This window comes from Homo sapiens, chromosome 4 (genome assembly GCF_000001405.40).
Source record: "Homo sapiens chromosome 4, GRCh38.p14 Primary Assembly".
NCBI lineage: Eukaryota > Metazoa > Chordata > Mammalia > Primates > Hominidae > Homo > Homo sapiens.
The window spans coordinates 105,656,931-105,681,877 of NC_000004.12; the positions used below are offsets into that span (position 1 = coordinate 105,656,931).

Here is a 24,947-nt window from a genome sequence, read left to right on the forward strand (position 1 = left end):
TCTGAGCTAATATGATAGAGAAACAGGTCAACGACAGATGAATGGATGGATGGATAGGTACAGGCAGATAGATGATGGTGATGATGAGATAGATAGATGATAGATAGATAGATAGATAGATGATAGATAGATAGATAGATAGATAGTTTTTACAGTATATGTTTAATGGAAAAGGTGTGGCTAGTTCTTTATGTATTTTCTGCATTTAATTATAGAGAGCACACATTCTAGAAGTCTTTAAAGGTTTGCTCTTTAGCTTAGTTCCAATACATTAAGTTAATATATATTTATTGAGTACCACCTGAAAGTGTGATATGTAGCTTCTCCCTCAGCAAGCATGCTCCAGACTTTGATGGAAAGAAGCCAGAAGTGTCCTGCATACCTTGCATAAAACCACAAGATGATTAATTAGGCTAAGTTAAAAAAATTGTGAGAAGGCTCAATATAAAAGTAACTTTTATGGATAACATATATAGAACTCTTTTTAAAAATCAAATATTAAGAACTCAAAATCTGTCTAAAGGCAGAGCAGTTATTCTTATCTAACCATGAGTAATACATATCTACACTTTTTTAGGACAAAATAATAAAGTCTAATTCTTATTTGTTCTAACAACAATTCCTAAGTAAAGGTGAATCATTTTGTGTCTGTGAGTCACTGGATATATATATATATATAATACTGTAATTAGATTACCTGTAGAATCCAGTCAAGTCACAAACATAGTAATTTATCCCAGATACAGTAAATAGATTCTTTGTTTATCAAGGGACTCATTAAACAGTCTCTAGGTGTATATTGACTATCTCATAAGCTAGACATCAAATTTAATTTGTGTTGGCTATTGCTGGTGCCAATAAGAGATTGGTTTCCCTCTCCCCTAGATTTCCCATGAGTTCAGACCAACTTACCAGGGGCCATTTAAGTTAATTAATACAAGCTGCTGCTCAGATACTGATTCCCTAGGATAGCTTTCGGGTTACAAAAGAGAAACCTACTTCCAAATTATCATAAAATATCATATAAGCATATATGATAAAGGGTAAAGTAGGGCAGTCAGCAAATGTAAAACAGAAGAGAAATAGAAGAAATTAAATCTAGGATGATCAGGTTATGTCATGAAGTTGGGCAGTTCTATGAAGTTCATTTTCAATGACTCAGGCCAAAAAGTGTAAACAATTTAAGACACAGAAACAGCATCAGCTTAATCCTTTAATGTATTTAAAACAGAATGTGTAGGCCAAGGTGAGAGGATTGCTTGAGCCTAAGTGCTCAAGACCATCTTGGGCAATAGAGTGAGACCGTATCTCTACCAAAAATTTTAAAAATTAGCCAAGCGTGGTGATACATTCCTGTAGTCCTAGCTATTCGGGAGGCTGAGGTGGGAGGATGGCTTGAGCAGAGGCTGCAGTGAGCTGAGAAAGTGCCACTGCACTCCAGCCTGGGCGACAGAGTGAGACCCTGTCTCAAAATTAATTAATTAATTAAAAATAAAACAAGTTACAACTCTGTGGTCATTTCTGTTTCAAGATTAAAATACCTTTATTAAGGGGTTACTATCTGTATAGGGGATATAATTCCACTATCAAACATAAGCCTCCAGGGTAGCCAGGGATTTGGGGCTGATATGGGAAGAATAGGGTACAGTCTCCTATGGGATGAACTATATTCCTTTTGCTGCCAGCAGAAGGTGGGAGCGATATGGTGAATCTTTTACACAGTCTTGGTAGTCAAAGGCTAGAGATTCCCCCCTACCCTCAAGTGCTGGCTCTGGGATGAGAAAGGAGGGGAATGAGAAAGTGTTGAAGGAGATGACAATGACAAAACCAAAGACTGTAGAGAAAAAAGTGGAGTTATATTTTGGGTGAGCAGGCTTTAACTTTTGTATTCCTCTTCCTGCTCACTTTTTAGGTTCAATGTTACAACCTAGAGCTCCTGTTTTAAGTCTTTGAATAGGTTTAGCCAGACACAAAATGATCAGATCCTCTTTTAATCTGGGTAGGTGCTTTCCTGTTTTCTTTTGTGCTTCTCGTGGGGGAAAAGGTAAACCTATGGATAGCAGAACTGGACAAGGTATGGGCTGATCCTCTCTCTGAAATGGGCTCATTTTTTCTTTTGGCAGGCATCTCACTTACAGAGACTCATCCTGACCCCCTTGTCAGCCCTGCTGTCCTTATTCCCAGGGCCTCACAAGCTCATCCAGAAACGCTATGACAAACTGCTGGATTGCAACAGCTACCTGCAGCGATCAACGGGAGAGGAGTCAGACTTGGCCAAAAAGGAGTATGAGGCCCTCAACGCCCAGCTTGTGGAGGAGCTCCAGGCATTCAACCAGGCTGCTCGGAAGATTCTGTTGAACTGTCTATGCAGCTTCATTACCCTCCTTAGGGACCTGATGCTCGTGGCACAGCAGGCTTACTCCACACTTGTGCCGGTAAGCACAGCACCAACACCTAGCTAGCTACCTTGGCCTACTGGATCTGCTAGAAACCACACCCATACGAAAGCCCTGTTCAGAGTGTGCACATGTATGCCGTGTGGTGTGTGTGTATTTATTTTAACTAAATCCAGTCAGATAGTCTCCTGTTCCTTATCTGTCTTATCCATGGGAAACTCAAAGAGGGTTTCCTAGTTCAGGTTTACTGTGACTTACACATTTGTAATTCTTTTTTGGAGATGCCTTTTCAAATACCAAACACCTTTCAGCCTTGCTCCACCTGCCTGATGCAACATTGAAGCTTATCAACAATTTATATTTTGTATTTTTTTCTGATCAATAGTTCTTAGATGTTAACTGTGACTATTTAAGATGTGGCTCTAAAAAGAAGGCCATCTCAGCATAATGAAAGATGCAGGATAACATTCAAACCATGCTTTGTTTTGATTTCATTTTTCCCCAAGAAAGAGAAGCCTGGTTTTGTGTGTGTGTGTGTGTGTGTGTGTGTGTGTGTGTGTGTAGCTTCGCCTCCCATTAGGATATAATTTTATAATTATTTTCCTGATGAGGAAGAAAGATATTTACAACTTATATCAACTTTTGAAAAATTAGCTTGGTTTCTTGGCCCTACGTTTCAACTACACTAGTTCTCATCTGAATGAGATGGACAGCTATTCAATGGGTAACACCTGGAGCAGAAATAATTGTCCCTACTTTATTTTCTATTGTGCATTAATTAACTTTTAACTTATACTTTGAATTAAATTAAATTGAATAAACGAGGGCTATGTTTACAGGGTTCAAAAGCCAAAACTGTGTAAATGTATAATCAGTCTCACACTCATACCTGTTCCTCTAGCATCCCATTCGCCACTCTCATCCCCATTTTTGTTAGTTTATTTTTATGCATTTAGTGCTTTCTCATGCCAGTAACAATAAATGCAAGTATATATTTTTATTTCTTAAAAGTAAAAAACAGCATATTATATATACCATTCTGCACTTGCTCTTTAACAATATATTCTGAGAATGCATCTATAATAGTACATAAAGAGCTTCCTCATTCTTTTTTTTTTTTTTGGTGGGGGGGGATGGAGTTTCACTTTTGTTGCCCAGGTTGGAGTGCAAAGGCCCAATCTCGGCTCACTGCAACCTCCACCTTCCGGGTTCAAGCGATTTTCCTGCCTCAGCCTCCTAAGTAGCTGGGATTACAGGCATGTGCCATCAAGCCCAGCTAATTTTTGTGTTTTTAGTAGAGACGGGGTTTCTCCATTTTGGTCAGGCTGGTCTCGAACTTCTGACCTCAGGTGATCCACTCGCCTCGGCCTTCCAAAGTGCTGGGATTATAGGCATGAGCCACTGCGCCCAGCCTGAGCTTCCTAATTCTTTTTACAGCTTTATAGTAACTTACTGCATGGCTGTATAATAATGTATAACCATTCCCTTTTTTTAAAATAACTTTATTGTGATATAATTTGTATACCATACATTCCACCTATTTAAAGTATACAATTTGATTATTTTTAGTATATTCACAAGAGTTGTGCAGCCATTGCCACAACCAATTTTAGAACATTGTCGTGGCCCCCTAAAGGAACCCTGTACCCATCCACATTTTTTCCTAACCTCCCCAGCTCTAGGCAACTATCAATTTACTTTCTGCCTGTACAGATTTTCCTATTCTGGGCATTTTGTATAAATGAAATCATACAGTACATGGTTATTTGTGACTGGCTTCTTCTATTTAGCATAACATTTCAGGGTTTCTTCATGCCTAGCATGTTTCATTATTTCATTCATTTTATCGCCAAATAACATTCCATTGTATGAATATACCACACTTTACTTATTCATTCGTCAGTTGACGGGCATTTGGGTTATTTCCATTTTTTGGCTGTTATTAGTAATGCTTCTGTAAACATTCAAGTTTTTAGTGGATATATGTTCCCATTTCTGTTGATTATATACCTAGGAGTGGAATTTCTGGATCATATGTTAACTCTATGTTTAACCTTTTGAAAAACAACCAGACTGTTTTCCAAAGTGGCTGCACTATTTTATCTTCTCAGCAGTATCGACTGAGAGTTTCAATTTCTCCACACCTCTTTATTATTATTATTATTATTATTATTATTATTATTATTATTATTGTTATAGCTATCCTAATGGGTGTGCAGTGGTATCTCATTGTGGTTTTTATTTGTATTTCCCTGATCAGCACTGTTTTAAAACTCATTAAATTGAAGTAATAACTTCTATACATTAAACTGCACCAGTCTGAACTGCACATCTCAATCAATATTTGCATATACACATCTGTGTAACTACCACCCAGATCAAGATATAATCCCTTTCCAGTTCCCCATAAAGATCACTCATGACCATTCCCAGGCACCTAAAGGTAACCATTTTTCTAACCTGTATTACCATACATTGTTTGACCTGTTTTGTACTTCATATAAATGGAATCATACAATATGTATTCTTTTGTGTATTAACCTGTCCCTATTGATGAGTATTTGATCTATTTCCAACGTTTTTTTATTACAAATAATGCCGGGGTCATGATACGTGGACAGATGTATCTGTAGGACAGATTTATAGAAATGATAGAAGTGGGATCTCTGTGTCAAAGGGTAAAGACGTATGTAATTTTGCTGGATATTGCCAGATTCCCTGCTTAACTATGTACCATTTTGGATTCCCACTTGTAACATGTAAGAAAGCTGGTTTCTCTGGATTTTTGCCAATCTAATAGGTTTCAAGTGTAATTTTAATTTGCATTTCTTTAAGTATTAGTGAGATTGAGAGTCTTCACATATGAGGGCTATTTATCTTCCTGTGAGTTAGTTGTTCATGTGTTTTACTCCTTTTTCTTTGGGTTCTTGGTATTTTTCTCCTTAATTTCTAGCAGCAATGTATATGCTAGGGAGATGAGCCTTTTGTTGAGATAAAAATTGAGACTACTTTTTCCAAGTTAACCTTTGTCTTTGACTTCACTTGTGATTTTTTTTCATGCTAATGTTTGTGTTTTTAAAAAATGCAGTCAGATTTATTAATTTCATTTTATGACTTCTAGATTTTGAATCTTATAAAGGACTTCCATATTTTAAGGCTCCAAATAAATTCAGCAGTGTTTCTTCTAGTATATTTAGGGTTTCATATTTTTTTATTTAAATAATCAATCCATGTAGATTTTATCCTGGTTCATGTTGTAAAATATGGATTTAATTTTATCTTTTTCCAAATGACTTTCCAGTTGCTCCAACACTATTTATTTAAAAATAATCTCTTGTTACTGCTTTCTCAATGAAACACATTTAATTTGCAAATTATTTCGATAATTTCATTCTGAGGTCATGGTAGAAGGTGGGTTCATAAGTTCAGAACAAAGTTGAGCTTTGGCAGGAATTTACTAGTCAGAAAAGACATGTTATTTTAGGTATCTTTGATCCCCACTTTGAATCATGTGATTTTTAAAGGCATTTTCAGTTTCTATTTTAAATTATCTGAGTATCTTTCACATTGCAGTCCATAGCCAAACAAGAGCATAGAGATGCTTTGTTTTTGAGAAATTTCTAGTGTCTTAAAGTAAAAGGCATTTTGGAGAAGTTATCCTCATTAAAATGATTTTATTCTTTATTTTATATGTTCTGTATATTTAAACTTTTTATTTTGTGATACTTAGAGATTCATATGCAGTGGTAAGAAGTATTACGGAGATCCTGTACAACCCTCACACAGCTTACCCAATGGTAACACATCTTGCATAACTACATGTATTTCTGAAAGGCAGAATTGAATAGTGATTAGAGAACACTAGAGTACCTTGTTTTAATACCTGCTCACTGCTATACTACATTGTGTAAATTAATGTATCCTTCTGTTTAAATTTTCTCATATGAATTAAAATGAGAATAATAATGTAAATAATTTTTAAATTTTTAATTGTATAAAAAACCACAATTTACCATTATAAGAATTTTTAAGTGTACATTTCAGTAGTGTTAAGTATACTTATATTGTTGTGTAATAGCTCTCCAAAACATTTTCATCTTGCAAAACTGAAACTATACTCATTAAACAAGTCCCCATACTCCCCTCCCCCAAGTCCCTGCAACCATCATTCTATTTTCTGTTTCTACAAATTTGACTACTTTAAATACCTCATGTAAATGGAATCATACAGTGTTTGTCTCTGTGACTGCCTTATTTTGCTTAATATAATGTCCTCAAGATTCATTCGTGTTGTAGCATGTGATAGGATTTCTTTCATTTTTAACTGTGAATATTTCATTATATATAAAAAACACATTTTGGGCTGGATGTGGTGGCTCACGCCTGTAATCCCAGCACTTTGGGAGGCTGAGGCAGGCGGATCACTTGAGGCCGAGAGTTCAAGACCAGCCTAGCCAACATGGCGAAACCTTGTCTCTACTAAAAATACAAAAACTTGCCAGGTGTGGTGGCACATGCCTGTAATCCCAGCTACTCGGGAGGCTGAGGCTGGAGGATCACCTGAATCTGGGAGGCGGAGGTTGCAGTGAGCTGAGATTGCACTATTGCACTCCAGCCTGGGTAACAAGAGTGAAACTCCGTCTCAAAAAAAAAAAAAACAAACAAAACAAAACAAAAAAAAACCCTAAAGCACATTTTGTTTATTTACTCATATGTCAATGATCATTTGGGTTGTGTCTATCTCTTGGCTATTGTGAATAATGCTGCAATGACCATAGGTGTGCAAATATCTCTTCAAGATCCTGCTCTCAATTATTTTGGATATATACCCACAAGTGGGATTGCTGAATCATATGGTAACTCTATCTTTTTGAAGAATTCAAAGCTCTATTTTTAATTTTCATTTTTATTAGAGTTATACATACACATAAAGATTCAAGTAGTTATTCAGGTTTGATGACGAAAAACATTTGTCCTTCGCTCCCTTTATTCCATTTCTCCCGCCTCAGTGGTAACTACTTTCCAACTCTTTTAGATGATTCTCTTGGTATTTACCTTCATATTTAAAAATAAGACTCTTGTGTTGTCATTTCATTATTAATACACTTTAGGTATAATACATTCCACTACGAAAAATGAGGATTTAGCTCTCTCTTCTCTCTATACCCCTACATTTGCTATAGTCAGACACACTCTTTCTATACCCCCTTCAATACAGTTATAGCATAGATTTGGTTGAGTTCACATTAAGCGTGTAAAGTATGTGATTTGTGTATTAGTCATGATTCCAGTAGGAAAAACATAATGCATTCAAGTTAGGCATTTGGAGAAAACTTTAATAACTATTTACAAAAATGTGAGTATGGCACAGGAAAACCTTTAGAAATAGTGCCTTGCCCTGGGCAGGCATAGGGGTTTGGGGTACAACAACATCTAGGTTCAAAGAAATATGGGGAGGGAGCAGTCATAGCAATGTGTAGAGAGAGAGGTGTGTGGAGAGGGTGACTTGATAGGAGCTGTGTATTTCTGTCAATACTACTGAAAGCAAAATTAGGAAATAAATATCCTTATCTCATTTTCTTCCCCCATTCTAATTTCCTACAGGTGCTCCTTAATGATGGATTGATTGAATCCATTTGGAAGCCAGAGAGCAAGAAAGCTGTTTTGTTGTTGCTGTTGTTGTTGTTGAGACAGGATCTCACTCTGTCACCCAGGCTGGAGTGTCATGGTGTGATCACAGAGCTCACTGCAGCCTCAACTTCCCAGGTCCAAGCAGTCCTCCTGCCTCAGCCTCCAGAGTAGCTGGGATTACAGGCACACACCACCTCACTGGGCTAATTTTATTTATTAATTATTATTATTATTATTTTGTAATTTTTAGTAGCAGGCCAGGTGCGGTCACTTATGCCTGTGATCCCAGCACTTTGGGAGGCCGAGGCGGGCGGATCATGAGATCAGGAGATGGACACCATCCTGGCCAACATGGTGAAACCCCGTCTCTACTAAAAATACAAAAAATAATTAGCTGGGCGTGGTGATGCGTGGCTATAATCCCAGCTACTCGGGAGGCTGAGGCAGGAGAATCACTTGAACCAGGGAGTCGGAGGTTGCAGTGAGCCAAAATCGTGCCTCTGCACTCCAGCCTGAAAAAAAAAATTTTTTTTTTAGTAGTGACTAGTTGCCCAGGCTGGTCTTGAACTCCAGGGCTCGAGTGATCTTCTGGCCTCAGCTTCCTGATTAGCTGAACTACAGGCATGTACTACCATGCCTGGCTAAGATTTAAAAATTTTTAAGAGACAAGGTCTTGCTACATTGCCCAGGCTGGTCTCAAATTCTTGGGCACAAGCAGTCTTCTTACCTCAGCCTCCCTATTGGCTGTGATTACAGGCATGAGCCACTATGCCAGACTTACCCAGTTTTTGAGGGGTAGGGATGTAAACTCCATTTCTTTGTAGGAAGCAATGTTGAAGAATTTGTTTGAAAACCAGCACAGGCTCTTAATCAGTGCTCCTTCTTTTAGCTGCTTTCCCTTGCCACCATCCTACCCCACCACAAGGGAGGTACCTACTGCCATGAGCTCCTGAGCTTTTTTTCCAAGACTTCATTGCTATTTTTTCTCTTCTGTTCTTTCATTTGGCTTGAAACTTAAAAAAAAATTCCTATCATGTTTGTGGGGTTTCTAGAGACAATAAATTAGACCATATTTATCTAGAAGTTCTAAAGTTGCCCTAACTTTTCACAATGGAGCTACCATATACCTCCTCAACTGTTCATCACAACTCAATACATTTAACACCTGATATGATTATCTAGGTGTCTGGAAACAATGCCATATTATTTCTACCTATAGATGCCACTGTTGGTTTCAAGCATTTCTGAGATTCAGAATCAAGTACTAGAAGAGATCCAAAATTTGAATTGTGTGAAAGAAAACAGTGCCACCTTTATTGAGAGGAAACTCAGTTTTGAAAAGAAGAAACCTGTGCAGATTCTGGTGAGTTTGGCAGCATTCATGACAATGATAACTTTCACCTCTTTGCCTTATCCAAGTTGTAGTATCATATTATTTTCCAGATCACTTATCTCATTCTAATATCCTATAATTTACATATGTGTAGAATTTCTTGTACATTTCTATCCTATATACCATAAGCTCCATAAGATCATGGATTTTTTTTCTACTTTGTACATGGCGTATCCCCAAAGTGCCTAAAATGACTAAAATGGTGCTTGTCACAAGGTAGGAGGCACTCAATAAATATTTGTTGAATAAGATTTTATAAAGATAAATCATATAGTCCAGACATTTCCTTTTCTACATAAGGCATACCAGGCCCCAGAGATAAGTGGGTTTCTCAAAGTCTCTTAGGGCCCGAGCTGAGGGGGGGAGTATAAGCGTCTTGATTCTTGTCTAATTTGCTGATGATATTTCCCAGATAAAGACATGTACATGTACAATTTACTTAGCTGAATACTTAATATGCAACGGGTTGTCTGCAGAATGGCAAAGAGTTTAAAATGGTTGTGCAACATCCAAGAGGGATTAGAACCTCTGCCTTCTTATTCTTGTTTTTTCTTCTCTACAACACTGCCCTCCTGTGCTTACTAGAAACATTTTTCCCTGAATAACTCAGCTGGGTACTTTACGATAATAGCCTGCTCTATGCCTGCACCTTGAAATAATCCTCTAAAAATATATGACTCCTACGTTTTAAAAATCTCCAGGGAAAAAATATTTACCAACTCCATGAGGATTTTATTATGTATCTGTCTAAACCAAAACTTCTCCTTATTTCTCCCAGCCAGAAATGCCACATCAAACTGACATTCATCGCTCCAAACTTCTATCCACATATAGTGCAGAGGAACTCTATCAAGCTAAGCGCAAGTGCAATGCTACACAAGAATATGACATCAATCTTCTGGAAGGAGACTTGGTGGCTGTGATAGAACAGAAAGATCCACTGGGGAGTACAAGCAGGTGGCTTGTGGACACAGGAAGTAAGTTTTTCCCCAGAACTACCACTCTTCTTTAAACTGAGATTTTTCTGAGGGCACATGTTTGGGAAGAGTATACCCATGAACTTGGTTCTTCTTTCTTTTTATTTCCTATCCAGATGTGAAAGGATATGTTTATTCCTCCTTCCTAAAACCCTACAATCCAGCAAAAATGCAGAAAGTGGATGCTGAGAACAGGTTCTGTGACGATGATTTTGAGAACATCAGCCTCTTCGTGTCTTCACGGCCAGCTAGTGACAGTGTCACAGGCACCTCAGAAAGCAGCATTGGTGATAGCAGCTCATCTCTTAGTGGCACATGTGGAAAGTTTGAAACAAATGGTACTGATGTTGACAGTTTTCAAGAAGTAGACGAACAGGTAAAAATTTGATGTAAAAATATGTGGTTGTTCAAATCATGAAAGAGTATCTCTCTACTGTACTCTATAATACTGTAACACTTGGTGGAAAAGTGCCAGCTTTGACATCAAGGAGACCTGGCTCTATTAGCACAGTGGATCTTTTTGTAAGGAGTTTAATTCCCTGAGCCTGTTTCCTTAAATGAAGCAAAGAATTAGAGATAAAGTGTGTATGTAAAGTAGCCAGCACAAAGTAGACACACAATAAATGGGAGCTATTACTATTACTACCCTGCTGTTACATACTTACAGCAAAGTATCTTTTTATACCCCCTCCATCAAAGAAAAGTAGTTCAATACTGAACAGATTGCTGCCATCAATAGCACATGGGAAATTGCCCATGATTCCTCTAAGAGCATAATCTTCATTGAGCTATCTAGTAATTGGCCAGTTTTAATCTCATGTATAATACCACACACTATATATGGAAACTTTTTCTTTTTTTCTTTTTTTTTTGAGATGGAGTCTCACTCTGTCGCCCAGGCTGGAGTGCAGTGGCGCAATCTCGGCTCACTGCAACCTCCGCCTCCCAGGTTCAAGCAATTCTCCTGTCTCAGCCTCCCAAGTAGCTGGGACTACAGGTACACGTCACCACGCCTGGCTAATTTTTGTATTTTTAGTAGAGTTTAGTAGGGTTTCACCATATTGGTCAGACTGGTCTATACTGAAACTTGTAAGAGCTATATTTCCCTCACTGCACTAATGCAAAAGCTACTGGTACAATCTTTTTGCAAAATGGTAAGTTAATTATAGTGCAGGACTTGTTTTTGCTATATCAGAAAGGTTCAGTATACTTAATGGTTCATTCCCCAGTGGTGACCATCTAATTCCTTTATTTATTTACCTTGCTTTTTCTTTAGTGTTCTATTAATAATTTATTTAAATTTATTTTTATAGAGGTTATGTATATGTATATGTGTAGATAGATAGATAGATAGATAGATAGATAGATAGATAGATAGATGATAGATAGATAGATAGAGAAGTTAAAATAGTAGAAAAGCATACGTAACTTAAAAGTAAGCTGGGCTTGGTGGCTCATGCCTGTAATCCCAGCATTTTGTGAGGCTGAGGTGGGAGGATTGCTTGGGCTGAGTTTGAGGACAGCCTGGGTAACATAGCAAGACCTCATCTCTACTAAAAATCAAAAAAATTAGCCAAGAGTGGTTGCCCACATCTGTAGTCCCAGCTACTGGAGAGGCTGGGGTGGGAGAATTGCACAAGCCGGGGCGGTTGAGGCTGCAGTGAGCCGTGATCATGCCACTGCACTCCAGCCTGGGCAACAGAGGGAGATCCTGTCTTTAGAAATAATAATAATAATAATAAAAGTAATGGTTTTTAGTCCCTTCTCCCCTTGTCCTGTGCTTCAGAGACAATGCTTGGGTATATCCTTTGTATATTCTGTGCATATACAAACACATTTATACCAGTGGGAAACATAGCATGTATGGTATATAGGGTTTTTTTCCATGTAACAATATATCTTAGACACAATTAAACCTAAATAGCTATCTTATTCCTTAAAAAGCTCTACACAGTATTTAATTTTATGTATATAATTTATGTAACTATCAGCCTAATAATAGATACATAGAACGTTTTGGGCTTTTAAAAAATTTCAAACAATATTTCAAGGAAGGGGCTTGTCCATCTATTTTTGTGCATTTGTATGAGTATATAAGTGTAAAACAAATTCCTAAAATATTAGAGGGCCAAAGGTATGTACATTTAACGTCTTTATAGACATTGCCATACTGACCTTCAAAAGTATGGTTCTATTCAGTTTCTTTCATTAACAGTTATTGATTGCTGTCCAATTCATGACTTCTTTTTTTTTTGGTTTGGTGTTTTTTTTCAAAAGCAGCTTATCAATATCTTATATTCATGTCATATAATTAATCCATTTTTAAGTGTACAATCATGACTTTTAGTATATATTACAAAGTTGTACAAGTTTAGTATATTTACAAAGTTGTGCAACCATCACTTTAATCCAATTTTAAAACATTTCTTTCACTCCAAAAAACCCTTTGCACCCATTTGTAGTCCCTCCTCTTTCCCACCCCTAACCCCAGGGAACCACTAACCTACTTTCTGTCTCCATACATTTGCCTTTTCTGTATCTTTTGTATAAACAAAATTGTACAATATGTGGTGTTTTACAGCTGCTTTTTTTCACTTAGCAAAATTTATTGAGAGTCTTTCATGTTGTAGTATGTATATGTACTTTGTTGCTTTTTATCGCCTACTAATATTCCATTCTGTGGGTATATTTTGTTAATCCACTCACCAGTTGATGGTCATTTGGGTAACTTCTAGTTTGGGGCTATTGTGAATTATGCTGCTATGAATATTCGTGTGCAAGTCTTTGTTGTGGATTTTATTTCTCTTGAGTAGATACCCAGAAGTGTAATTTCTTATTGGTTTTATAAGTGTATGTTTAAATTTTTAAGAAACTGCCAAACTGTAATCCAAAGTGGGCGCACCATTTTAGATTCCTACCAGCAAAGTGTGAGGTTTATGGGTTGCAGTTTCTTCACATCCTTGTCAACACTAGTTATTATTTGTCTTTTTAATTATAGCCATCTTGTGGGTATGAGGTGGTATCTCTCTGGGGTTTTAATTTGCATTTCCCTAATGATTAATGCTATTGAACATTTTTTCATGGGCTCATTTGCCATTCTTTTATTTCCTTTGGTGAATGTCTATTCAAATATTTGCCTATTTAAAAAAAACTGGGTCATTTTCCTTCTTATTTTCCCATTGTAAGAGTTCTTTATAAACCTGAGTGCAAGTTTTTTTTTAATCAGATATATAATTTGCAAATATTTTCCCCTGGTTATAACTGACTCTTAACTTGTCTGGACATTACTATTTGTTCTTATTACCCTTCTGTCTTGATGTTTCAAAACACTATTTCTCTATTACTTGTTCACTCTGTTGTTTATTCAGTTTCTAAAAAACATATTATAATGCTAACTAATGAATTTTTATCAGTGAAATCTATGTACCTGATTAAATGTCCTGTCAGACTTTGCCTTGTCCCAATAACCTAGATGGACAGAAATCTGAGGGCCAAATTTATCAGCACACTCTAAAGCTGGCTTGATGTTGAGTTCTTGTTCTTACTTGGCTCTACAGGGACTTTGGACTGAGCACCTCACACAGACTTTCTGCCTGGTGTTTGTAGTATGAGACTGCATTTAGTTCCTACTAGCTGGTACTTCAAAGCAATTTTCTCCAAGCAATCCTATCAATATATATAATGTGAATTACATCCATTAGAGATTTCCATTACCAAGAGAGGAAAAAAATGAGATAGTATTTCAAAACAAAAAATATATTAATGGCATATCTTCATAAATTGTTATTTGCTTTCTTTTTCCTCTGCATTTGGCACCAATTCAAAGTAGGCATAGCATCAGGAATATAAATATAAGCACATATAAGCATTATTACTAATAAAACTGGATTGAAGATGCATCTTGGATCGGTAGCACATGGGATCCCTGATACTTTCCCTCAGAGTAGAAATCATCTAACTCAAACTGAAGGTGAACCCTGTGCAGGGAAAAAGTCTGTCCCAATAAACTTACTGCAAGATGAGGAAGAGGATGCACCTGTTGGAAACTTCACTACAAGGGAGAAGAGAAGGCCGCATGGAAATATCTCCCTTAATGTCTTAACTCTAGCCAATAGATGCACATGGGCCAGTGGTTTCCAGACTCCCCCTGTAATGCATAATGCATAATATTGAAAACAGAGAGAAAGGAGTATATTATGTGCCTAATCCTTGCCCCAGGGCCGATGTTTCTATTCTGTTGGCTTTGAGAAATTGTGGGGAGAAGAAAGTGATTAACCTCTGTATTTGTGATGTGATAGTATAAGTCAATACATTATAGAGGTCCCTGTAATGTGATCAAAAGTGGAAGAAAATTATATCTTCTTTACCAACAGTGAGAATACAGTACATATTGTAATATTTCACATTTGCGGTATCCTACAAAGCAATTTTCTGTGTGGCTATTTAGACTTTCGTTCTTGATTTTATTTTATTATCAGGAACATCAGCTGAAACTTGTACTGGCTTAATTGGATGCCACTTTTTGTTATCATTTATTTCCCTCTCCCTTCCTACTGTGGTAGCACTTTTTTTATTTCTTCCAGAATTGCTATAGCATGTTTCCAAGGGGTGTTGTAGGATGTAGTCTGGATTTATTGATGGGTCTAGTGGGCCCTGACAAAAAGGACAGGTGGCCTCTACCTCATACTCAGGGGGTATCTTTGGGTCTCTAAAGATCATTCACATATAGGCAATTTCAAACTTAGATTCTAGTGGCTCTGTGATTTTTATACTAGAGCTGAATTTTTAACCTGGACGCGAAGACCTGAAGTGGTCTATGAATGAGTTTTGGGAGGATTTAATGAGTCTCCTCAAATACATTGGAAATATTGTGCTTATTTGCATATGTACACATCTATGGTAAAAGAAGTCTACCTTTTTAAACAGACTTTTAAAAGAAAATTTTATCTAAAATGTTAGAAATCACTGCTGTAGAGATTTAACTTGCTTATCCATTCTCTACCTCAAGTAAGAAGAGAGACTGCTACAAAAAAGTTCCCCCAAATTATATTCTGGAGCCTTTGTTGAATAATGGGGATGAGCTAGTGGATATTCACAACCTGGCAGTACTGATTTATACCAAGGTCCTTAATTTTTAAGTTCTTCATTTTGTTTTTTGCTATATCGAAGAATATAACAAAAGCATTCACGTAAATATGCCTTCCCATTCTAATGTATTCTCTCCTTTTGTCCATCAAATAGTAATGGCATGCTCTGCATTAGTGTTCCATGCTGCATAACAAATTACCACAAATTTGGTGGCTTAAAACAATACAAACATATTTCTCAGGGGCTGTTGTCAGGAGTCCAAGCACGGTTTAGCTGGATGCCCTGCTTAAGATCTCATGTAGCTGCAATCTAGCTGTTTGCTGGTTGTATTGCTTCTGAAACTGAGGGTTCTCTTCCCAGCTCATGGTCATTGGCAGAATTAAATTTCTTGTTCTGGTCGGACTAAGGACTCCTTTTTCTTGTTGGCAATTAGCCAGAGACCACTTTCAACAACCTGAGGCTGCTCTCAAATCCTTGCCATGTGGCTGTCTCTATAGGCAGTTTACAACATGGCTGTTTGCTTCTTCAAAGTCAGTAGGTGAGCATCTCTCTGGCTTCAAATCTCTCCCTTCAGAGGAGGCCTGAATGCACTTCAAAAGTCTCATATGAGTAGGTCAGGCCCATCCAGGATAATCCCTCTTTTGACTAACTCCGAGTCAATTTCCTAGGGACTTTAATAAGCACCTCTGCAGAATCTCTTTACCTTTGCTATAGAGTGTAGCCTAATCACAGGAGTAATAGCACATCTATTAAGAAGTTCCAGTCACAGTCAAGGGGAGGAGATTATATAGAACATGTACAATAGGGGGTGGGATTCTTGGGGTCCATCCTAGAATTCTGCCTTCCAGAGTGTCTAAGATGCCTTGTTTGGCAAGCAGAATCTTGTCCTTGGCACTTCTCAAAAAGGACTAGGTTTAATAACGGCTAAAACCCAGTTTTGGGGGGCAGTTCAGTGTCTGAGAATCAGTGTTGTTTTCTTTTTCCACATAAGTAATATTGAAAATATAATTTTTGACTTCTAAAAAAAGTAGTCGTTTTGCTACCAATCCCACGTTCATAGTCTGGCCCTTCATCTTTACATTTTCCAGCTACCTATGATGATGATGCTATATACCTACTGTGTCATTGTTTAGAAAGTGCTTAAAAAAGTCAGCTTATTAACATGAAGAGATTTTCAAAAATAGTATGAGGTAAAAAACAGCTTGCAAAGTTATGTATACTATAAGTCCATTTTTATTACCACTTCAGGTAGGTAGGTAGAAAACAAAAATGGAAGGAAGGAAAGAAGGAAGAAAGGAAGAGAGGAAGATGGGAGGAAGGAAAAGAAGATACTAATAGCAGTTGGGTGGGTTTTGTTTTGTTTTGTTTTGTTTTGCTTAACTTTACTTAAAATTTTTTTCTTCATCGAAATTGCTCGTGTAATTAAAACATATAATTGTTAAGTGAAGAACATGAAAGCTTGCTCCTGAAGGGTAAGAGAGAATAATGAGCATTTTTCATGCAATACAACTACCTTGGTTTCCAGAGATACATATAATGTACCATAAATGCTGATTCTGTACCTTTTAGTTTTAGAACAGAAGATTAACATATATTATGACTTTTGTTGCTGTTAATTGGAGAATTGGGATAAAAATAAAATGATATTCAGTGAAGTCAGGTAATGTGGCTCACGGAGGAAGGAAAAATCAAATGCACAAATATAGAATAAGGGAATGCCAAACTGGGAATGTTACCACAGGGAAAGATCTAGTGGTTATAAGCAGTGGGTAATAAATTAGGTATGAGTCAATAATACAGTGTTATAAAAAAAGTAAGTGTGGTAGAAAACTGAGTTGTATTCACAGAATACTGCACCTAAAATGAGTCAGAGCTTTATAGAGTAGAAAGAAGCAATCAATAAAATACATTTTAAAAAGTGCCAAGGAAAAACAGAAGAAGATTAGGTGATTATGGCTCAAATTAACAACATTGTAATTAATGTGCCTGGACCAAAACATATTAGCATTTAAGATTAGAAAGTTACAGACTGAAACAATTAAAATGTTGAAGATAATGAGAAATCTTTCAGTTCTTAAATGCATGACAGGTTAAAAATTTATAACTTGTAGTCTAACATTAAGGAGACTAAAAATACTAAAAAGGAGACTTAAAAAAGAGACTGAAAATAGACTGCTGTCTCTTTAAAAGCAGCTTACTTCCATTTTGAGTATATAATATATGCCCCCATTTAACATAAATTATATAAAAACTAAAAAGTGCTCATCCTAAACAAATTTTGGGTCATGATTATCTAAAGCATTGAAAGTATATAATTTTGTACTTTAAATTTACAATTTCATGAGAATATATTTTAATATTTAGAATATAAACTATAATTTCATACCAAACAGATCTAGATGGAAGAGTTTATATTTCGCTTGAGAGAATTGTGCTAAAGTAAAAAACTACCACTATTTAGAAATGTTCTATTAGTAGGCAATCTAACCTGCTAAAAAAATCTATAGTTGCATAGGTAAAGCATTACCTATTATTTATAAAAATTATAAAAGATGATTACCAACCACTAATGCAGGCTCTTACAGATGTTTCAGATGTATTATAGTACGTTACATTCCCGAATACTTTTGCAAACCAAATCTTCCATTCTGTTCCTGTGGATTTATTCAATGTTTTCACTTTCTACACAGCAAAACAACACCATCTACAATATACTAGAAACTCCAGTCCCTCTCCGCAAGAATACACTCTGTACATACTTGCTAGAACAAGAGTTTGGTCTCTAAAGCATTATGAGAAATGGACCAAGCACAGGATTTGAAGTTAGAAGATATTGGTCATAGCAGCACCAATTAGCTCTATAATTAAAAATATGTTTCTTCTGTAAGACATAACTCATAAGGTTGTTGAGGACAAAGCACATTTAACATATAACTGCCATGCGCTCTGTAAAAGGTGTTTATTATTGCTACCACTCCATTGCTAAAGAATTTATAGTACTTTTAATTTTCTTCTTTACTTAAAAAAATTATGTAATAATTTGACCATGTTCATCAATCTCTTGTATGTATCTTTTATGATACAAGATGATGTCTTGTATGATATCCATGCCTTTCAATAAATATTTGAATATTCCTACTAATTTTCAGGTCAAATCAATAAATATTTGAATTCCTACTTTGTACCATAATGTGGTCAATGGAGAAAAGTTTAAATGTGTGTCTTAGTGCATTTGGGCTGCTGTAACAAAACACCATAAACTGGTTGGCTTATAAACAACAGAAATTTATTTCTCACAGTTGTGGAGGCTGGAAGTCCAAGATCAAGGCACCAGTTTATGTGGTGTTTGCTGAGGGGCAACTTTCTGGTTCATAGATGGCACCTTCTCATTGGGCCCTCACATGGTGGAAGGGGTGAAGAGTCTCTTTTGGGCTTCTTTTAAAGAGAAACCAATCCCATTCAGGAAGTTGAAGGCTAATCACCTCCCCAAGGCCTTACCTCTTAATAGCATTACCTTGTGGATTAGGCTTTCAACACATAAACTTTGAGGGGAAACAAACATTCAGTCCATAGCAATGTGGTTCTTTCCTTGGGGAGCAGCTCATATTAGTTGATAAATCAATATCCCAATCAATTGAATCAAAGTTTCACCAAAAGTTAAATAACAGTTTAATATTTAAATAACAACTTCAGCTACAGCTATAGTCTCCTTTCCACACTACGCATTCTCTTTCTCTGCTTAATGAAGTAATGAAGTCATCTTATTTCTCATAGTTTCCCTTACCTATTGAATCTCAAGTTTGAGAGTTAATCTGCTTGTCTTTTCCTATATGTTGTTTTCATGTATTCATCTCCGTACCTTCAAATATGACATATTCATGCCTTTTGTCAGCTTTGTCATTTATGAAAGATAACTTATTTCAAAATTCAGCTCACCATTAGCTGATGTATCATCTGTGTGTAGAGTTGTTGCTGTTTTGGTGTGTTTTGTTTTGTTCACTGGCATTTTCTTTTCCTAGCTGAGTTGTAAGTTGTCCAATAAAATAATAACCAGCACTTAGTAGGTACTTGAAAAATTTTCATTAAATAAATGAATGGGAATAAATATTGCTTAAATAAATGAATGGGAATAAACTAAGCCAGTTGCTTAATTTTATGCCATAACTAAACATTTTTATTATCAATCTTATGATTTTGTTGGAAGAATAAAGACTTATTTTGGGGCTTCTTACGCACTTAATAATTATAAATTGTTCTTTTGAGGTCAGAGAAAAATTCTTTTGACTGAAATATTGTATTATTCTAGGCCATAAAATAATTTTTAAATTATAAATTTAATACATTGTCATTATAAAGGTTTGGGAAATAAAGAAGGGAACAAGGAAGTAAAAATGAAAATCAGCTATAATTGTACCATTCAAAGAAACAATAATATTAGACTTATATCGTACATCTAATTTTATGTTCTTTTTAAGGTTTACTATTTTATCATAAGTGTTTCCCATGTTATTAGTCTCAGAAAGCATCGTTTTTGTTGTTGTTTTGTGTTTTTTCTTTTTTTTTTTGGAGACAGAGTCTCACTCCGTCGCCCAGGCTGGAGTGCAGTGGCGCGATCTCGGCTCACTGCAACCACCGCCTCCCGGGTTCAAGCTATTCTCCTGCCTCAGCCTCCTGAGTAGCTGGGATTACAGGCACACGCCACCACGCCCAGCTAATTTTTGTATTTTTTAGTAGAGACGGGGTTTCACCACGTTGGTCATGCTGGTCTTGTACTACTGACCTCGTGATCCACCCACCTCGGCCTCCCAAAGTGCTGGGATTACAGGCGTGAGCCACCGCGCCCGGCCTGCACCGTTTTTAATGACTACAAATCTCCTTAGTATGAGGGTCTGGAATTTAACTATTTTTCTCTTGCTAAACTTATAGTGTTATTCCTACTACTCTCCCACTTTTCGCCATTCTTATGGGTAATCCAGTAACATTGTTATGCAAAAATTTCTGCCGATGTTTCTGTAGAAGAGATTCTTCAAGCTATTTTGATTCACAAGGAATTAACATTTTAACATTATTAAAAATCTTTTAATAGAAACTGCCAAGTTGCCTTCAAGCATGGACAATTTATATTCCTCCTAACAGAATAATAGGAATACCTATTTCACTCCATTCTCACCTGGGTTATATTTTAGCAAAATACATCCAATAGAAGGAGTTGGACAATGTGACTTTGGCAAAACAAAAAAACTTTAGCATTGCTTCTAAAAGCTTGGAAACTTTTATGATGTTTCTCTTAATATTCAGGTTCCAATTCCAATAATGTCTTTTGTTTCTTTGTCTAGATTTTCTATGCAGTTCATGCTTTTCAAGCACGGAGTGACCATGAACTCAGCCTTCAGGAATACCAGAGAGTTCATATACTCAGGTTTTGTGACCTAAGTGGCAATAAAGAGTGGTGGTTAGCTGAAGCTCAAGGGCAGAAAGGATACGTGCCAGCTAACTACCTTGGAAAGATGACTTATGCTTAAGAAAATAAGCCTTCAACTTTTATTTTCCAGCAAGTTGTTGATTGACTACCTCATAAAACTGACATTACAAAACTTTGGACCAGAAAGCAAGAAACCTCTGAACTACAGAAACTGATACTGTACTGGGTTTTCAGGAATACTGTACTTCCTAACAGGATTATTGCATGAATGTATTATAAAGGATACATGTTGAAAGAAATACTAAGCCAACAGAAATAGCAAAGCAAATGACCCAAGCTTCAACTATCAACTATTTAAAAGTGAAGATCTTTTGAAGGAGTAATTATATTCTTTTATCATCAAGAAAGGTTGGATCCAAAGGTTTTTCAATTTACTTTTTTTTTTACTGTATGATGTATTTTGCCTTAAATGTTTTTGTTTTTCATATTGCTCTCTTGCAAATGCATACATGTTTATATACATACATATAAACCATATATATTATGTAGCTTTATACACGTATGTGGATAATATGAATTATACACCTATATGTATAAATCAGAGTATACACCAAATATACATAAGAAGAATATACCACCAACTAGAAGTCTTTGATAATATATTTTGTTAATGTTTCGTTTATATGTTTTGAACTAAAACTGAATAACTTGATATTAACATGTAACATTACTGAATGCACACTATATGCCAGACATTGTTCTAAGTGCTTTATATGTAGTAACTTGTTTAATATTCAAAACATTATGAAGAAACCATGGCCCAAAAAGGTGAAGTAATTTAATCCAAATCACATTGCTATTAAGTGGTGGGCCTGGACTTAAACCTAGGTAGTGTAAACCAAAAATAAAATTCTAAGGCTTCCAACCATCTAAATAGACTTCCCCTTCAGCCAGGGCTTTTTTCTTTCTTTTCTTGTTGTTTTTTTTTTTTTTTAAAGAGACAATAAAAGGAGGTTTTTTTATTCAAAGGTATAACTGGATAAGTAGATTTGTTTACAATCATTCTTGTGAAATACTTTTTTAAAAAAATACGATCAACTTCTTTGCAAATAGTAGACACATACCTCAACAATGATGACCTAATTTTTGATCCATAATGTAAGATTAGGTAGAAATAGGCAAGCTCACACTGCTAAATTAACTATCAAATACTCAGTCAAAACTCCATTTGTGGCCCCCACTTCTTGATCTATTTCTGTTCCACTTCGTCTTCTACCATCTTGCCGACTTTCCTGAGCAACTGCTTTGTCGACTCTCTCTACCTGACCAATTGCCAGATCGACAACCTGACTGGCCTGACCAGCCACTCCTCTGTCTGGAATTAAAAGATGTTTCCATCATAATATTCTTTAATTTCAGGTAATTTAGCTGGCACTGAGAGTATCCAGCCGGAATCATGCCACTTTGCCTGTAACCTTTGACTCAATTGGAGGAATATCAAAGCAAACACCCATATTTCCTTTCAGGAGGCACACTCTGGTAATCTGAGACACTGCATTACTATTCAGCTTTCTAAGTTCTTTCCAAGCACAGCTGACATCCTGTATTTCCTCTAGGCTTTCCAGAGTCATGGTCACAAACCCCTTATCAGAGTTGATTAAAGATCATGGTTCAAAGCTTGATACACCAGAAATGTGGGCTAAAGCTGCAGCCAATGCATCTATCGCCCCTTTCTCTTCTATCAGTATCTGAGCTGATGGTTGGAAAAAAATCAACAGCAGCATAAGAAATGGAAGCCAGAGACCTTATGGCATCCATGCTTTTAAATTTAACTAAATCCATTGTAGAAGGAACACCTACACATTTAAAAGTAATTTGTGTTTTTTGTTCCACATGTCTTAGTTGACCTTTCTCTTGGTTGATAAAAACATATACAAACCCCTGTCTGTCCAGCTTTACCCACGCATCCAGAGAGATGGATATAGGACTCAATATCCTGAGGAGGAGAACTTTGAATCACCAGGTCAACTACAGGAATGTCCAAACCACGAGGAGCCACATTGGTTGCCACCAAAACTTTATAATTACCTCTCTGAAGCCTTTTAGTGTAATTTCTCTTTGTGACTGTGCAATGTCCCCATGTAAACACAGTGCATTCTGTTTTGTGCGGATTCATGGCCATGTCAGTTACATTCTTCTTCGTCTCACAGAAAATAATAGCCCTCCCTTCAGATCCACTGTAGACTTGAAGGACATCTCATTTTCATCTGTGTTTTATAAAGGAGGAAATTGAGGACCTCACATGGAGGGACTGGAATTTAAAACCAGGTCTTCTGACTTTAAGGCCTTTCTTTTAGTGTTTTCCCTTTTCTTTTCCTTAAGTCACTAAAATCTGTAGTTATATAATCTTACATAAAGCATATGCAAAATAGAAAAATGATAGTCACCACATATCTACTAATGGGATTAAAATGTACAATCCTAAAAGCTTACTTGTTAGCACACTTGCTTATCTGTCCATTCATTCATTGAACCAGTAAGTATTTATTGAGAGTTAGTGGGAATACAATGCTGTGCAAGACAAACAAGATCCCTCCATTCATACCACTTAAATTCTAGTGGGGAAAACATCTGCACATAACAAACTAAATAAAATGATCATAAAATAATAAATGCTATTTATATAAAACTGGCTACTTTCATTACTGCTCAGTTAAAGGGTCTTGTAGCTCATTTTATGACATGAAAAAAATCAAGGTCTAAAAGCTCCTTGAGACAATTTAAACTCTAATACCAAATATACCTCTATAAAATACCAAACTGAGCTAAATACGGTATATGTGTACTTATACATATGTACATAACCTAAATATACGTGTGCACACATTATCTATACAAAGAGCCATACTCAGTGAAAGATAAATTACCTCCTAAACTAAAGTCCCCTCTGAGGTACAACAGAAATTAAAATAATTGCTTCTCTTCTCAACTCTATGTAGCACGTATTTTCCATGATGGGATAAATGTTTTCATTTCAAGTGCCAATGTGTGAACTGTAATAAACATTACTGCTTTCATTTTTTGTAGGTATGGAGGTTACATTAACTGTTATAGTTGCGGAGCTGAGTTTTTATGTCAGGTAATTTTGTTTAGTCCAAACTGGTTTTGAACTATAAACAATTATGGATATGTATTTTTTGGTTTCTTTGACCCCAAAGGGAAATTGGGGTTTATGTCAAATTGATGTTTTATCAAAATAAATCTGTTTCTCAAAGCAAAAGTCTCTGTAGGATTGAGATAATTCATTATTTACATATAGGGTAAACAGACATTTACTGCCTATTGAGATCATAATTGAGATAATGGATTATCTCAATCCTGGATTCTAATTTACTACAAATAATTTAGCACCATTATTTAACAGAGCAGTTTAAAATAATAATCTTTCCTTAAAAAAAAAAAGACCAAGCTTAATTTTAAAAGCTTTGTGTTTACAGAGATCACCTATCAATATACTTTAGAATAATGATGTTAGAAAAACCTAGGGATTAAGGAAGACAGTTTGAGATTAGAGATTTGTAGAGTGAAGATTTAGTAGCACAAATCAAGTTTGATGGAACAGGCTGTTCATAGTCTTGTGAATGTGTGAATTTGTTGGATATCCAGTTTTTTTGCTGTGAATAATAAACTGTTTCTCTGATGCAGAGGGCTTCCTATCTTCTCTCAGAATATACATGTACAACAATTGCTGGTTAATTTGTTAGCTTGCAAGTAAGACAACAACGCAGACCTTCCACATTTTCTGACTTAACCCACTTATGCCTAGTGTTCCATTATTGCAATGCTCGGCTTATAGAGTTATTTATATCCTACTGTTCAAGGTCATCATCAGGTCTGATTTTTCACCAAAAAAATTTGCAACCTCTGGCATAAATGGGTTAACAATGTACAAAACAATCTCAAGAATTAATCATTATATAGGAGCTTATTGTATACAAAGTTAGCTAAAATTAGGTAAAGTGCTATAACATTTTGAGCAC

The 24,947-nt window shown here is 36.1% G+C and overlaps 1 protein-coding gene across 9 annotated transcripts in view; it reads left to right on the forward strand.

The window, feature by feature from the left end:
* The window catches only part of ARHGEF38 (Rho guanine nucleotide exchange factor 38), a 129,947-nt gene that overhangs the window by 104,311 nt on the left and 689 nt on the right, over positions 1-24,947 (forward strand). For 3 of the 9 annotated variants that reach the window (NM_001242729.2, XM_011532050.3, XM_006714244.4), the window contains 5 exons: positions 2,124-2,435; positions 9,247-9,390; positions 10,199-10,397; positions 10,514-10,773; positions 20,822-23,984. In NM_001242729.2, the coding sequence (NP_001229658.1) occupies positions 2,124-2,435; positions 9,247-9,390; positions 10,199-10,397; positions 10,514-10,773; positions 20,822-21,007 (1,101 nt within the window). In that variant the 3' untranslated portion in view covers positions 21,008-23,984. The other 6 variants (XR_007057934.1, XR_938750.4, XR_938749.4 and 3 more) reach the window with 5 other exon arrangements.